The following is a 14,068-nucleotide window of genomic DNA, read 5'->3' on the forward strand; positions in this document are numbered from 1 at the left end:
TATATATATATATATATATATATTCAGAATCCATATTCTTTTCCAGCAAGTACTGATGACTTAATGAAGACAAGCATCCTGTCCGGTCAGTACTGTTTTCCCAGTGATGAACGTACAACTTTGTCCTTGGATTGTCTAAGATAGGCCATGTGGTGCCAGGAAGAGCATCAGGTCAAAAGCCCTTAGTTCTAATCCTGGCTGTACCACATCCAGCCGCTGGATATCAGCCTTCTCATCTGTAAATGGGCAAGCAATGACAGCCTTGCCTACTACCAGATCCTAGGAGGTGAGAGGCAGGAAGAGCTTTGGAAGACCCCACGAACACATTTGAGTCCCTCTGTAGGCTTCTCTAGAACCCTTCAGAGTTGAAAGGGGTGACCAGGAACCTGGGAAAGAGTCCCAGGGCAGCCCAGGGTTGGAGCTTCAGGGCCAAAGTGGTTAACTGAAAATATTCATTATCACCCCGCCCAGGCTGGAGTCCCCTGGCTTCCAGTTTTGAAGCAGAGGTCAGCTAGGCGGTGTAGGACACTGCTCCTGGGTTGACCAATGGGCCACATCAATGGGTCAGCTGTTTGGGGTCAAGAGCCTCCTGCCCTCCCTGGGGCCAAGGGCCAGCTTTCAGTGCTGGGAGGACCATGAGGGGGGTGAGCCAGGACTACCCACCATTGACAGACAAGGGGAAATCAAGGCAGGGAGAAGAGGGGCAGAGGCAGAGCAGAGGGGAACCCAGGTATCCCGACGAGGCCCCTTCGCCTCAAACTGTGACACCTTCTCACATGTGCTGTGTCTGACACCATACAAAATGCTGATCAGGGCAAAGCTCGTTTAGTGCTCATGAGGCCCTGCGAGGCAACACCTGCCGTGCTATGGTTAGCCCCTTTCCACGGGGAAGGACGCTGAAGCTCTGAAAGGTGAAGCAACTTTCCCAAGGCTACACAGCCAGGAACGGGCTAAGGCAGGACTGGACTCAGGCAATCCAACTTGACTGCCCCATTCCTAACAGCTGGACAATGCGGGAAGCCTAGCTGCCCAGTGGGTTCCCAAAGGCTCCAGGGTGCTTTTGACGTTGAGCTGGGCCTGCCCAGTCTTGCCTCCCGGGGCCGCCAAGCCAGGGCCCCCCGGCAGCCCGCTCCAGGCTGCATCACAAGGCAAAGGGGCTGCCCAGGCATGGCCAGGTCCATGGCTGCTGGAGAGCATGCAAAGCACCCGAGCAGGAGCCTTGTTCCCATGGAGACAGACAGAAAGGACTCCAACTCACTCTGAAGTGTACCTGCAGGGAGCCAGGTGCCAGACTGTACCTGGAGGCAGAAACCTGAGCCTGGATTCTCACCACTTCCCTCTGTGCCACCAACACATCCTCAGGCCTTCTTCTCAGGACCCCCAGCAAGACACGAGTTCCAGAAATAAGACATCCCAGCCCACTTCCCGCTCAGCCACCCCCAGAGGGGCCTCTCTGGTTGAAAACAACGCCTGGGGCCAGCAGGCTTGGCACAGCTGTGGCTGTCAGCCTGCCGAGCACCGTCCGGCCTGAGGAATGTGCAGACCCACATGTGCTGGAGCATCCCGCTGGGGCACAGTGACAGGAAACTGAGCAAAACAGCTCGTTGGCACTGATATGCCCCTCCCACCTCCCAGCTCCTGACTCCTATGGGCTGTTGGCTGCCCTGGAAGTGCAGGCGGCAAGCCCAGGCCCTTCAAGAGAGCCAGGCAGTGTGGCTCTGGGCAAATCACTCCCCCTCTCTGGGCCTGTTTCTGCTTCTCTTGGTGGATGAAGGACGCTGTCCTGCCAAGCTCAGAATGGCAGTGATTTTATGACATGCTCTCCTTTCTGGGAGGACGGTCCATTCTCCTCATGCCCTCATTCATGTGGGATGGGGCATGCCCCCAAGACACATCAAGCTATCCCACTAGCAGCCCTTGGCTGTAGAAAGCCCCCCCACCCAGTGCAGGGATAAGGGTGACCCTTCAGAGTTGAAAGGGGTGACCAGGAACCTGGGAGAGTCCCAGGAAAGCCCAGGGTTGGAGCTTCAGGGCCAAAGTGGTTAACTGAAAATATTCATTATCACCCCGCCCAGGCTGGAGGCCCCTGGCTTCCAGTTTTGAAGCAGAGGTCAGCTGGGCGGTGTAGGACACTGCTCCCGGGTTGACCAATGGGCCACATCAATGGGTCTGCTGTTTGGGGTCAAGATCCCAAGACCCCAGGGGAAGTCAACATCCATCTGAGGCTCTCTCAGGCCCTGCAAGCCATCTCTGGCCTCACTGCCCTCCCCTTTAGAAATGTGGGAATGAGGCTCAGAGAGGTTGAGCTGCTTGCCAAGTTTGCATAGCCAAAAGGCGTCTGAACGAAACTGAGCATTCGGGGTTGGACTTCCCCTCTTCGCCGCCTGCTCTGCTCTCCCAGGCACTACTGAGCGCGCTCGCGGTCGCCAGGAGCGGATTGGGCCCCCGCCGCGCGCAAGCCTTGGTGACAGGTCAGCCCGCCCCTAGGGGAGGCAGAGGGAAGCCCCGAGGAGGCACCCGGCCCGCTGGGGCGCGCTGCCCGGGGCTTTAGGGCTTTTTCTTGTGGGCCGGCCGAAGCTCCCCGGGGTTGAAAGGAAAGGCTCGGGAATTTCGCAGCCAGCACAGAACGGTTGGATTTAAACTAAAAATACCCGCCCGCCCGCAGCTGTCACGCCGGGGCCCCCGCCCCCGCGCCGGGCGCGCCTCCCCAGGTCCCCCAGACTTTCGGCGCCCCCGATTCCCGGGGCTGTGTCAGAGCTGGGCCAGGGGCTGAGGACCCCACCCGCCCGGCCCCCGGCCCCCGGCCCCCGGCCCCAGGCCTGGCCTCCCGGCCCCGTGCCACTTACCCTCCCGGAGCGTGGAGGAGCGCGGCGCCGCGGGTAGCTGGGGCCGAGCCTCCTTCCCTCCTCCCTGCGTCCCGGGCGGCTCCGGGGCGGGGCAGGGCTGGGGCGGGCCCGGACACCGCGAGTACCCCCGCCCCCGCCGGGACCCGCCCGGTGGCCCCGCGGGAGAGGCCGCGCCCCTCTCCGCACGCGCTCAGCGGAGGCCCCGGGTGCGCAACCCCAGCCCGGCGGACATCCTGCGTGGCCCCGGGGACCAGGGCCGAAGAAAAGCCTCACCGCTCCCTGTCGCGGACCCGGGGCGGGGGTTAAGGGGGGGGTCCTGTCCACGCTTGCCTGGAAAGCAGCCCGGAGCCCTGGCCCCTGTCTGTCTCCCCGACACACACACAGCCACCCACCCTCTTCTCATCCTAGGGGATGGCGCGGAGCTGCCTCTCCGGGAAAGTTGGATCTGTGCGCCCAGACATGGAAAAGGGATTAGGACACCGGCAGATCTTGCCCTCACAGAGCGGAGGTGGGGGCCTTGGAAGGGGCACACCGCCCGTAGGCGCGAAATCCAAGAAGAAAATGACACTCATCAGCCAGCCTCGCGCGGGGAGAAAGGGCGGGGTGGGGGGTAGTGGCACCCTGCCCGTCCTCTCCCACCCCCACAGTCCGGGCCCACAGTCCAGGAGTCACAAGGGATGTGAATCCCCAGGCATAATGTGAACCCCCAACAAACCCAAGGCCTCAGAATGCGCCTCACCTCTCCCTCCCCACCAGCAGAAACATCCTCCCACTCTCCCAACCCCTGCTCCAGCCACGCCAACCCTTTAACCTTGTCCCAGAATGTCTAAACTGTATCTGCCTCTGTGCCTGTGCACATGAAGTTGCCTTGGCCCGGCGTTTGCTCCACAGCCTTCTGCCAAACTCCTACTGCTTGATGGCTGGAAGCCTTCGCACCCTGGCGCTCTCCTCCCAGGTCAGCAGTCACTGGCCTTCCTGTGCATCCAGCCCAGCTTTGAACAGTCCTGGGCCCCAACCCTTATCTTTTTCCGAGTAATTACATGGTTGCATGATTGGCTTCACCGCCTCTGGATCAGATGAGCGCTACTAATGAAGGATACAAGTTGTAAAACTAGGTTTTATGTGAACTCCAGTCATCACAGTTTAGGTGCGGCTAGCGATTTTACAGATGCGGGGTTAGTAACTGGCCCAAATCCAGGGCTTCCGGGATGCTGTTTTCCTTTTTTGTTTCTTAGCAGGGATGGCAGATGTTTGTAGAACAGATCCGTGTAAAAGTCAGTATCCTAAGAGATTAAATTGTAAAGCAGGACAAGATAGTTAACGGTGTGTGTGTGTGTGTGTGTGTGTGTGTGTGTGTGTGTATGTCTTTTCCAAATTGAGAGGGAGGTAGAAGAATTAGCCAAAACCCAGGATTCACTCTGAGGTAGACCCACACCTCTTAGTTAGATCCCATTTATTAAGCTGTAATTATTCACAGCGTTGCTGAAGATATACACAGGGCCCCTCCCATCTCCCTGCGACTGACTGGTTCCAAGTATGCTATTATATGTGTTATTATCACTGTGGCTCAATTAGAAGTGCTGCCGAAGGCCTTGAGGTTGCCACAGTCAAACTGCAGGTGCAGGCAGCGAGTAACAATGATTATAATGCCTGCATCTGGATCGCGCTTTTTGCTTTTCAGAATGCTTTCAAATGTGTCTCCTCATTAAATCTCTGCAAACATCCTCCAGGTAGTTAGGAAAAGTTTAATGAGTTTTGCCTGACAAGGGAAACCAAGACACAAAGAGGGCAGGTGACTTGCACAAGGAGAGAGATGGCTCCCCCAGGCTGCTCCAAGGGTGGAGCTGGCCACTGTAACTCAATGTCCTGCAGGAAGAGATGGTTGGGTACAGTTAGGAGCTCAGGCTCTAGTGCCAAAGTGCCCAATTTGCAACTTTCAGCTGATTACTCATACTTGGTTTCCTTTTCTGTTGAATAGATCTAATAATAGGAGCTTATCTTGTATGGTTTTGTGCCTGGTATTTGAGCACCCAACTCAGGCGAGCTGTTATGTTATGGTTCTGGGAATGGTATGATTGCTACAGTTTCTGCCATACAGCTATTCAGTCTTTCGTCAAACATTCCTGAGTATCTACTATGTGCTAGTCTCTGGGAATATGAAGAAGAATGAGGCATAGACTACTACCTCCAAGGAGGTCAGGGTGTAATAATTCTGTGTCAGGGGACCATGGTGCACAGAGATGAACTGTCCCTCCTGCTGCCGGTGCAGTGCAGAGCACCAGTTCAGAGCAGTGGAGATATTCACTTTCCAGGCCCAGCTTTGCTACTTATTTAGCTGAGTGAATCTTACACTGTAAGATTCTGTTACACATACAGTGTGCACATACAGTCTAATCTTACACTGAATGTGACCTCTTACAACATTGGTTTTTCTCATCTGTTAGATGGGGATAGCAATAATTTTTCATAGGTGAAAACACATGTGATAAACATATTTTATAAAGTACAAAATACTGTGCAGATAGTTTTGTTATTATCAATGTGATTGTTATTATCTTGGGCTTTACAGGGCTTGCTGCTTTTCAGAATACTCTCCCATTCCATTGCTTTTCTTAGAGTCTCGCTCTGTCACCCAGGTTGGAGTGCAGTGGTGCAATCTTGACTCACTGCAACCTCCTCTCAGATTCAAGCAACTCTTGTGCCTCGGCCACTTGAATAGCTGGGTCTACAGGCACACACCACCACACCCAGCTAATTTTTTGTATTTTTAGTAGCGACAGCATTTCACCATGTTGGCCAGGCTGGTCTCGAACTCCTGACCTCAAGATATCTGCCTGCTTGGCCTCCCAAAGTGCTGGAATTACAGGTGTGAGCCACCATGCCCGGCCATCCATTACTTTTCTTAAGCCTGACATAAACATCACATCAAAAACAGAACCCTATTTTTTATTTGATGCCAATCTTTTTCTCTCCAAAGTAGTCCACATGGAAGGAAAACAAAAGTTGAGTAAGCAATGCGAAGGGATGGGGCAGTTTACAACTAGGAAGTCCACAATACCTTCGTCTTCAGCATTACCTGCAGCTACATAAGGGGGTGGACATGAAAACCCATCTGGAAAAAAAAATCTGGCAAAGGATTGGGGGAAGAGCCCCTTTGTCATCTCTGGAATTGAACACAGGAAACCCCGCCCTGAGACCTTCCTTTCAGAAGCAGCCCAGAGAGGGAACCACAAGAAGGGCACTAAAATTATGCTGTTCGGAAGTTCTGACTCACTTGGCAGCGCGGGCTGTTTGTGCAACGTACCAAATGTCCTCCAAAAAGCGAAGTTTTTACCACTCTTTCCCTCTGTCCCTTCCCTGCAGCCAGCATCTCCACCACCACTCATGGGGAAGCAGGAATCAATTTAATAAGCCTGGGGAAATTATCTGGGTCTGTTTCACATTTGCTGTTGGTTAGCCAGCTTCAGTGGCAATCTGCACAATCCTCATTTTGTAAGCATGATTTTTTCAGTTGTTTGTGTGTGTGTGTTCAGTCTCCACAGATAGATTACAACAAAAGCTGCAATGGCTTTTCTGGCTAATAAAACACCTCATGGGTAAACTGAGGCAAGAGAGTAGGGACGAGGGGCATTGCCCAGGGTTCCAGGATAGGAATTGCTGTTCAGAACATTTACATTCCCATCTCTCCATCTCTAGCCTGGCTTCCCACTTAGTGGTGAAGTACATAAGTGCTTTCAGCTTAATACGGATGAAAAGCTCACATTAAGGGTGCCCACTTCTGGGGTGCCCCATCAGAGAGGTCTTGGTCTGAGCCTGGAGAGCTCGTTCTCAACCCAGTTCTGCTCTGAACTTTTCCTTCTTCTTTGTTTTTTCCTTGCCGGTTCTCCAAGTGTTAGCCTGTCCTTTCCCACTTGGGTGCTACATGTGCTTCTAGGGTGAGCACAGCCAGCACCCTGGTTTGTTCACTTCCTCATGGGCAGCTGCCACCCATCAACTGAGCAGAGGTACCCCTCTGGGTGGCAATGAGTCATCTCAGTACCAAGCAGGGGAACTGGAGTAACTTGGAATATTCCTCTACATACATTTAATTGTACTGCATTTATAAAATACAATTATATATAACATACAGGACTGGATTCTCGGATGATGGGGTTCTAACTCTTGTTAAGGCTGCTAACTAGCTGTGTAACCTTGGGTCACTTCTAAGTTTTTGAATCTGTGAAATGAGAGAATTAAAAAAGATTTTCTCTAAATTATTCCCCCAATTTAAGTAACTATAAGAAATATATATATACACACACACAGTATTATATACAATGTAATATATGTAATGTAATATACATAATACATTATGATATATTGTGTGTATGTGTGTATATATATATATATATATATATATATATATATACACACACACGCATACATATATATATTGTATTGGCTGGCCAGGTACAGTGGCTCACTCCTGTAATCCCAGCACTTTGGGAGGCCAGCGTGGGAGGGTCGCTTGAGCCCAGGAGTTCAAGACAAGTCTGGGCAACATGGTGAGACCCCGTCTCTACAGATAAATAAATAAAATTATCCAGGCAGGGTGGTGCATGCCTGGTTTCAGCTACTTGGAGCTGAGGCAGGAGGATTGCCTAGGCCTGGGAGGTCAAGGCTGCAGTGAGCCATGATTGCACCACTACATTCCAGCCTGGGTGACAGAGTGAGACCCTGTCTCTCTCTCTCTCCATTATATATCTTTTTGAAAAAAGAAGATCTTGTTTGTATTAAACAATCATCATTTAACATAACTAAACACCACTACTATTATACTCCAAGGAATAAATACTAAGATAAACAAAAGTGTTAAAGGAAAATTGATAAATTTTATTCCTAAAAAATAAAATCTGGCTGGGTGCGGTGGCTCATGCCTGTAATCCCAGCACTTTGGGAGGCCGAGGAGGGTTGATCACCTGAGGTCAGGAGTTCAAGACCAGACTGGCCAACATGGTGAAACCCCATCTCTACTAAAAATACAAAAAAAAATTAGTCGGGCATGGTGGTGGGTGCCTGTAATCCCAGCTACTCAGGAGGCTGAGGTAGACGAATTGCTTGCACCCAGGAGGCAGAGGTTGCAGTAAGCTGAGATCAGGCCACGGCACTCCAGCCTGGGTGACAAAGTGAGACTCCATCTCAAAAAAAAAAAAGAAAAGAAAAGAAAAAACAAAAACAGAAAACAAAGAAAATATACAAAATTCTTCTGGAAGAGGTCTGCCATGTTTCTCGTTTCTCCCAACAGTGGGAAGCCTGGTCTATTCTTTCTGCTTCTGTTGGGACTACTTTAAATGCATGTGGGTTTTTTGTTTAATTAAATGCTTTATTTTGAGACCACTGTAAATTCACATGCAGTTGTAAGAAATCATACAGAGAGGTCCCCTATATGCTTTACCCAGTTTCCACCGATGGCAGCATCTTACAAGACAATGGTACAGTATCACAGCTAGGAAACTGACAGACACCCACACGACACAAAACGCTTCCGTCACAAGGATCCCGCATGCTGCTCTTCCCCCTTTCCCCATTCCCTCCTTAAACTCTGGCAGCCACTCCTCTGTTCTCCTTTCTATAATTCTGTCATTTCAAGAATGTGATAATAATGGAATCACACGGTGGGACTGCCCTTCTCCACTCAGGGTAGTTCTCTGGAGCGTCACCCAGGCTGGCTCCCGTATCGAGTCTGTGCCTCCTCGTTGCTGAGCAGCAATCCACAGTGTGACGGATGCATCACGGGCTGGGTCACCCTTCCCTTGTTGAAGGACATCCGGGTTGTTCCTGGTTTTTGGCTATTATCAATAAAGCTGCTATAAACATTTTGTACGCACATGTGTGTCAATATACATCTTCACATCTTAAGTTTCAGCTGTTGGATCTAATACCCACTTACAATCCCATACCATCAGATTTCTCTTACTTTTTCCTAGTGATGAACGCAGCTAGTGATGAAGGATGTTTAAGTGTCCAACAGTTGCCCAGGATTGGGTCTTGAGTTGCAGAAATCTAACAAAAACCAGTTACATGGTTCTTGCCATCAAGAAATTTACAGTCTGTTGGGGAAGTGACATTAAGACACACGAATCATTCACAGAACTAAGTAATGCTGCATGTCATCAAATGCGAGACTGCATGGTACAAAACTGACTTGTAGAGGAACCCAGAGACAGGAAAGAGAAGTGACAACACGAGTGTTTGGGGAGTCCTCTGGATAAGATGTGAGATATATCTCAAATGATGGACACAAATAATGATATTTTATATTTATTAAGGGCTTACCTACCATCTGCCACACACTGTTCTAAGCCTTTACCTATATTGTTAATTTAACCCTCATCATCACCCTTCAGGATAGCTCCTATTATCATCCCATTTTCCAAATGAGGGAAAAAAGGTGAAAACTTGGCCATTCACCCAGCTATTATGTGACTCACCTAGGGTACACACTCAGGCAGTCTGACCCCAGCACCCACTCCATCGCTGTGGATTCTGTCTCATAGCAATAGTGGTCATGATTCAATTCCATTCTGTTTCTTAGGTTATATTTTCCACACACAGCATATGCTATAGCTATGCTGAGCCTTCTGGAGGAAGGTTATTGATAAGTTCAAACACTGTTCAAACAAACCAGCACCACTGTTAGTAACGTAACAGGTGAGAAGTCTGTGTGTGATGTATCTGCTGGGGTGTGTGTGTGTGTGTGTGTGTAAACAGCAAGGCTGAAGCCTCCAGTTGTGTGATTATCTGTATATGCAGCAAAACACGCACACACCACACACATCAAAGTTCCCAGCTCTATATGATAAAACACAGAAGCAGCTGAGCCCATTTCAGATAATGAATGTGGTTTTGTATTCTCTGAATTGCTACATACCAGGAAAGTCACTTCCAGGCTCAGCTACCTCCTGAGTTGCTAAACATACAAGATGTGTGATCACGCTTCGCTCACAGCACTGATGGCTGCTCACCCTTTCAGCTGTATCATTTCGGTTAAAACAACAGCATACCACGAGCCCGGCATGTTTGCTTGCTTTTGTTTTGAAATCTAAATGCAGCCTTGATAATGTCGGTGCTTCCATCGATGGGGTGGGTGGCAGAGTGAAAAGCTCCCTGGATCAACATCTCCTGACTTGCTGTCTCTCTGAGCTCTGCATTTCCCAGTCGGCTGGGCAGAGGCGAGCCATCTCACCTCCTCCTGTCTCCACATTTAGAAAATGGGGCCAGTTCTTCCTGTTTTCCCTGTAAGAGCTGCATGAGATTCACATAAAGATGATGAAACGCACTGCAAACTTTAGATTCTGTGCAAATGTGTACGACTATGGTAAATTAAACCCTCCGCTTACTATGCTTCCAAAGAATGCTTCACGACAGACACCAACTCAGGAAGAGGCTGTGAGTAAGGAAGACTTCCCCACTAGGGAGGAAAATGAAGCTTTCCGTGTTTTTTTTTTAATCCCTGGAGACATGTTTTTGAACGTTGCTGAAGTGTTCTCTCCTTGCTTTGACAAGTGTGGCTGTTCTGAACATGTGATCATATTGGAATCGCTGTGTGATAGGCAGAGTGCCCAGGAAGCCAGGGAGGCTCTGAACCCAGCCCTGGCAGACACACGGAGGTGTGGCCTTTGTACCCTCTTTAGGGCAGTGGAACCCATGCAGGGCACCTGCACCACCCCCACCCATCCCATATGAGCAGCCGGTGCTTGGCTCTTCCGGGAAGCCCACACTTGGGGCCCAGCCCTGTCCCTCTATCCTAGCGGCATGGGCTGGTAAATGCCAAATAGGTCCATGTATCTTATAAAACCTGCTGCTCTTGATGATAATTCTTGACAGCCCAGGACACTTCCCTAACAGAGAAAGTTGTTTCATTGCAGTAGTCTAGTTCCAAAACCTTAGAATCTTATTGCCAACAACTGGCATGGAACACATGCAGAACAAACATTTTCCAACAGGACTGCCGCAGGTCCTTGCAATGGCAATAGCTGCAGCACCTGGCCTAAGATTTTAAAGAACTTTCATCCTAAATTTCTTCTTTGATGTTGTAGACTTGGTATGCAGAGAAAAATGGCCAGTGTCGCTAAATGCACCTCCTGGTTAATTACAAAGCCCTATTCAGCAGACAGAAGCAACCTCTATAAACAGGCAAGAGGTGTCCTCAGGTATTTCAAAGGTCTCGGCTAGCACCATGCCAATGGGATGAGTGCACCAGCTTCAGCAATCAAGCTTGTTTCATCATCCAAATGGAAACATTTCTGCAAAATGACTGGACTCTATCTGCTCTGTTCACTAACTACAGAAATGGCCTAAAACAAAGGTTCACACACAGACAAAAGTAACAGCCAGAAGACACCTGACAAATTCACTGGCCCAACTCTATCACGTTGCAGAGCCCCTTAGAGGTGAAGCGAAGCGCCCAAGGGCAGCAAACACTGATTGCATCAGCCCACACTGTGTTTACCTCCATTGCAAAATCCACGAGACCCTGGGTCCTTACCTGGCCTCTCTCTGTGGCTTCCTTTTTTTTTTTAAGAGACAGCCTTGCTCTGTTGCCCAGGCTGGAGTGCAGTGGTACTATCATAGTTCACTGCAGGCTAGAACTCCTTGGCTAAAGTTATCTTTCCACCTCAGCCTCCCAAGTAGCTAGGACTATAGGCACACACCACTGCTCCCAACTAACTTAAAACTTTTTCTAGAGATGGGGCCTCACTATGTTGCCCAGACTAGTCTAGAGCATGTGGCCTCAAGCAATCCTCCTGCCTCGGCCTCCCAAAGCTCTGGGACTACAGGTGTGAGCCCTCATGCTCAGGCCCTCTGTGGCTTCTGGTAAATTCCTCTTCCCTAAAGCACTTGCTCCTAGTTCTCCTCATGGCCTGTCCCTCCCCAGCGATATGCGTTCCCCAGGTTTTCTTCTCTGCACTCCTTCTTGCCCCCCCACCCGCCCAAATCTCCTTTATCAATAGATCCAGACCCGTAGAGGCAATAATCTGCATACTCTCTCCCTTTATTTCAGACATAACCTGATGATTTAGATGTTCCTCAGGCACCTGGAAACAGAAATGTCCAAAAGTAATTCCTGAACTTACCTTTCCAATCCTCCTTCCCCCTCCCGCTGTATTCCCTGCATCATCAAGTGCAGTCAGTGGCTAAGCAAAACCCTAGGAATAAGCCTGAATCTTCCCCTCTTCCTCCCAGCCCCCTCCCCACAGTCAGCCAGTCACCAAATGCTGTCATCCCTACCTTCAAAGAACTCAGCTTGCAGCAGTGCCCTTCCCCCATGCCCCCACCCCAATACCTGCAAAGGTTAAATCTGATGACCCTCTCCTAAGTGGCCCCGTTAGCTCGGCCACCTCCAATCCATCAACACTCCCGCAAGGGTGATCTCTCAAGCACTCTGCAGCTTACACTCCTCCTGGGACTCTCCCTCATCCAGAGGAGGAGAGCCCAGTCCCTTACCATCTGTCCTCCCCTCAGCTATGTCCAGTCCTGCATTTCTCAAGAAACGGCCTGGCATTCTCCCAGTGGACCCAGGGGCCTCTGTGCCTTTGCCCTGGTTGCTCCCTCTTCCTGGAATGTCCCTCCTTTTTATATAGAAGCACTTTACCCTTCTCTCAAAACTCAGTTCAAGTGTCACCCCCTACTAAGCTTTTCCTATCCCTTAGGCGCTGACTGAGCTTTTTCCGAGAGCTCCATTCCCTTCTCCAGTTCTCGGGGGCATTCTTGCATCTGTCCCCATCACAGGACTGCGAGGTCCTTGGGATTTGGCAGCCTCTTACTCCACTCTGTATCCTGCTTAGCGCAGAGCCTGTGGGTGCCTCACTGAATGTTTCTCCACCTCCTATGGCACCTGTGCTCGATATTATGAGTTTCACACAATTTGGGATTTGCTGAGATCCTGCTCTGTATTGTTCACCAGGTTATGTATTCTTTATTCAAGAATTATCTATTGAACATATAGTAAGTGCCAGGGATGGCACTAGGGCACCAGGTTACAAAAATGAATCCTACCCAACTAGAAGTTGATGGCCTAGTGTGTGCGTGGTGGGGGTGGGGGGAGGAATAAACAGATACAATTACAATGCATACACTCCCTGAAGAGGTTCTGATCCCCAACCACTGTGAAACAGGGCTGGGTAGTAGCACAAGTGAGGTGGTTATATTCTTTGAGGCCTCTAATTGTGTGTCCTGGGTTGACATCAGCATTTGCAGAACCACTTTATGGACGGCCCTTTCTGACGTAACGTCGGCTGAGCTCTCTTATCAAGCCCACTGGTTTACACAGTTAGAAAAATTCAACTTTACACCAGTATTATTCAGTCCCTCAACACCTGATGAAATGTACTAGGTATTTCCAAGGTGTCTTCCAAGTACTAACATGAAGTATGTAACAGAGTTAGAATAACTTTATCTGGCACAATGGAGTAAAGTATTCCTTTTTTTAACATAACCTTAAGCTGTGTGTGTGTGTGTGTGTGTGTAGTTTTTGTTGGCAAGCTAAAATAAACTGCATGTTTCCTTGACTTCCTATTCAGAGCATGGGGAAAAGAATTTCTTTTTCTTGCTCGGAAGCATAATACAAGGCACTAGTGCACAAGGAACAGTCACGGGTGAAGACTGTTCGCCCCTCCTTACATCGAATGCCCCAGAATGCTGCTTTTTAAGAAGAATCCCAGAATGTCTGCCTCTTAGTGCTTCACCTTTCACTTACTGTTCAGTCATTGTTTCTTTCTGCTTTTAGTGTTAGCCTTTTAAAATTTACTGCTTCTGATCTGTTGTGGTTATATTAGAAAACTAAGTAAGTTAGCTATTCCCTAAAATAAGAATAGCACTTGGGTAAGAACTGAGAGACTTTTCCTAGAATTGAGCAAAATGATTAATTCCCAGAGAATGTATAATTACAGGGGCAGCCCTTATTGGCTCTTGCCCCAGCTTCCTCAGTAAAATAGACTAGTGCCCCCTACCTGCCTTGCCAGGAAAGACAGAGACTCATTCTATTATAAAATGTATTTCTCAAAACCAGAATGACTTTGAAAGATGTGTTATTTTTCTGAACACAAGTAAAAATTCCTTCAAGTAAGAGGATATTATTTGCTCTGTAATTAGACAGCCAATAGTATGTGTGGATTATCACGGATCTGTGGCTGCATGGTATGAAGAGATGAACCAACGGGAATATCCCATTGATTTCACAT

General features: G+C 49.4%; 1 protein-coding gene and 1 long non-coding RNA gene across 6 annotated transcripts in view, besides 6 other annotated features; one reads left to right on the forward strand and one right to left on the reverse strand.

Annotated features, from left to right (window-relative positions):
• Positions 1 to 2,901, reverse strand: part of SYNE3 (spectrin repeat containing nuclear envelope family member 3) — a 109,385-nt gene extending 106,484 nt beyond the window's left edge. For all 5 annotated transcript variants that reach the window (NM_001363692.2, NM_152592.6, NM_001384281.1 and 2 more), the window contains exon 1: positions 2,847 to 2,901. The gene's annotated coding sequence lies outside the window, so the exon portion shown is untranslated. The remainder of the gene's footprint in view (positions 1 to 2,846) is intronic.
• Positions 2,303 to 2,597: a silencer, noted in NCBI's record as "tiled region #11978; HepG2 Repressive DNase unmatched - State 1:Tss, and K562 Repressive DNase matched - State 4:PromP". NCBI's record gives its function as "represses a minimal TATA promoter and a strong SV40 promoter by Sharpr-MPRA in HepG2 and K562 cells {active_cell/tissue: HepG2 | K562}" and the evidence as "EXISTENCE:reporter gene assay evidence [ECO:0000049][PMID:27701403]".
• Positions 2,303 to 3,156: a biological region, named in NCBI's record as "Sharpr-MPRA regulatory region 11978".
• Positions 2,347 to 3,156: a silencer, noted in NCBI's record as "silent region_6047". NCBI's record gives its function as "represses an Ori minimal core promoter by ATAC-STARR-seq in GM12878 lymphoblastoid cells {active_cell/tissue: GM12878}" and the evidence as "EXISTENCE:reporter gene assay evidence [ECO:0000049][PMID:35858748]".
• SYNE3-AS1 (SYNE3 antisense RNA 1) lies at positions 2,371 to 4,162 on the forward strand. The gene is made up of 2 exons (NR_188030.1): positions 2,371 to 2,471; positions 3,255 to 4,162. It is a non-coding gene; the product is annotated as an SYNE3 antisense RNA 1 (long non-coding RNA).
• Positions 4,581 to 4,730: an enhancer, noted in NCBI's record as "active region_8963". NCBI's record gives its function as "activates an Ori minimal core promoter by ATAC-STARR-seq in GM12878 lymphoblastoid cells {active_cell/tissue: GM12878}" and the evidence as "EXISTENCE:reporter gene assay evidence [ECO:0000049][PMID:35858748]".
• Positions 10,043 to 10,337: an enhancer, noted in NCBI's record as "tiled region #6741; K562 Activating non-DNase unmatched - State 5:Enh". NCBI's record gives its function as "activates a minimal TATA promoter and a strong SV40 promoter by Sharpr-MPRA in K562 cells {active_cell/tissue: K562}" and the evidence as "EXISTENCE:reporter gene assay evidence [ECO:0000049][PMID:27701403]".
• Positions 10,360 to 10,762: a transcriptional cis regulatory region, noted in NCBI's record as "candidate enhancer chr14.2067 targeted for multiplex CRISPR interference". NCBI's record gives its function as "positively regulates GLRX5 gene expression in K562 cells {active_cell/tissue: K562}" and the evidence as "EXISTENCE:mutant phenotype evidence [ECO:0000015][PMID:30612741]".

Source organism: Homo sapiens, chromosome 14 (genome assembly GCF_000001405.40).
Source record: "Homo sapiens chromosome 14, GRCh38.p14 Primary Assembly".
NCBI lineage: Eukaryota > Metazoa > Chordata > Mammalia > Primates > Hominidae > Homo > Homo sapiens.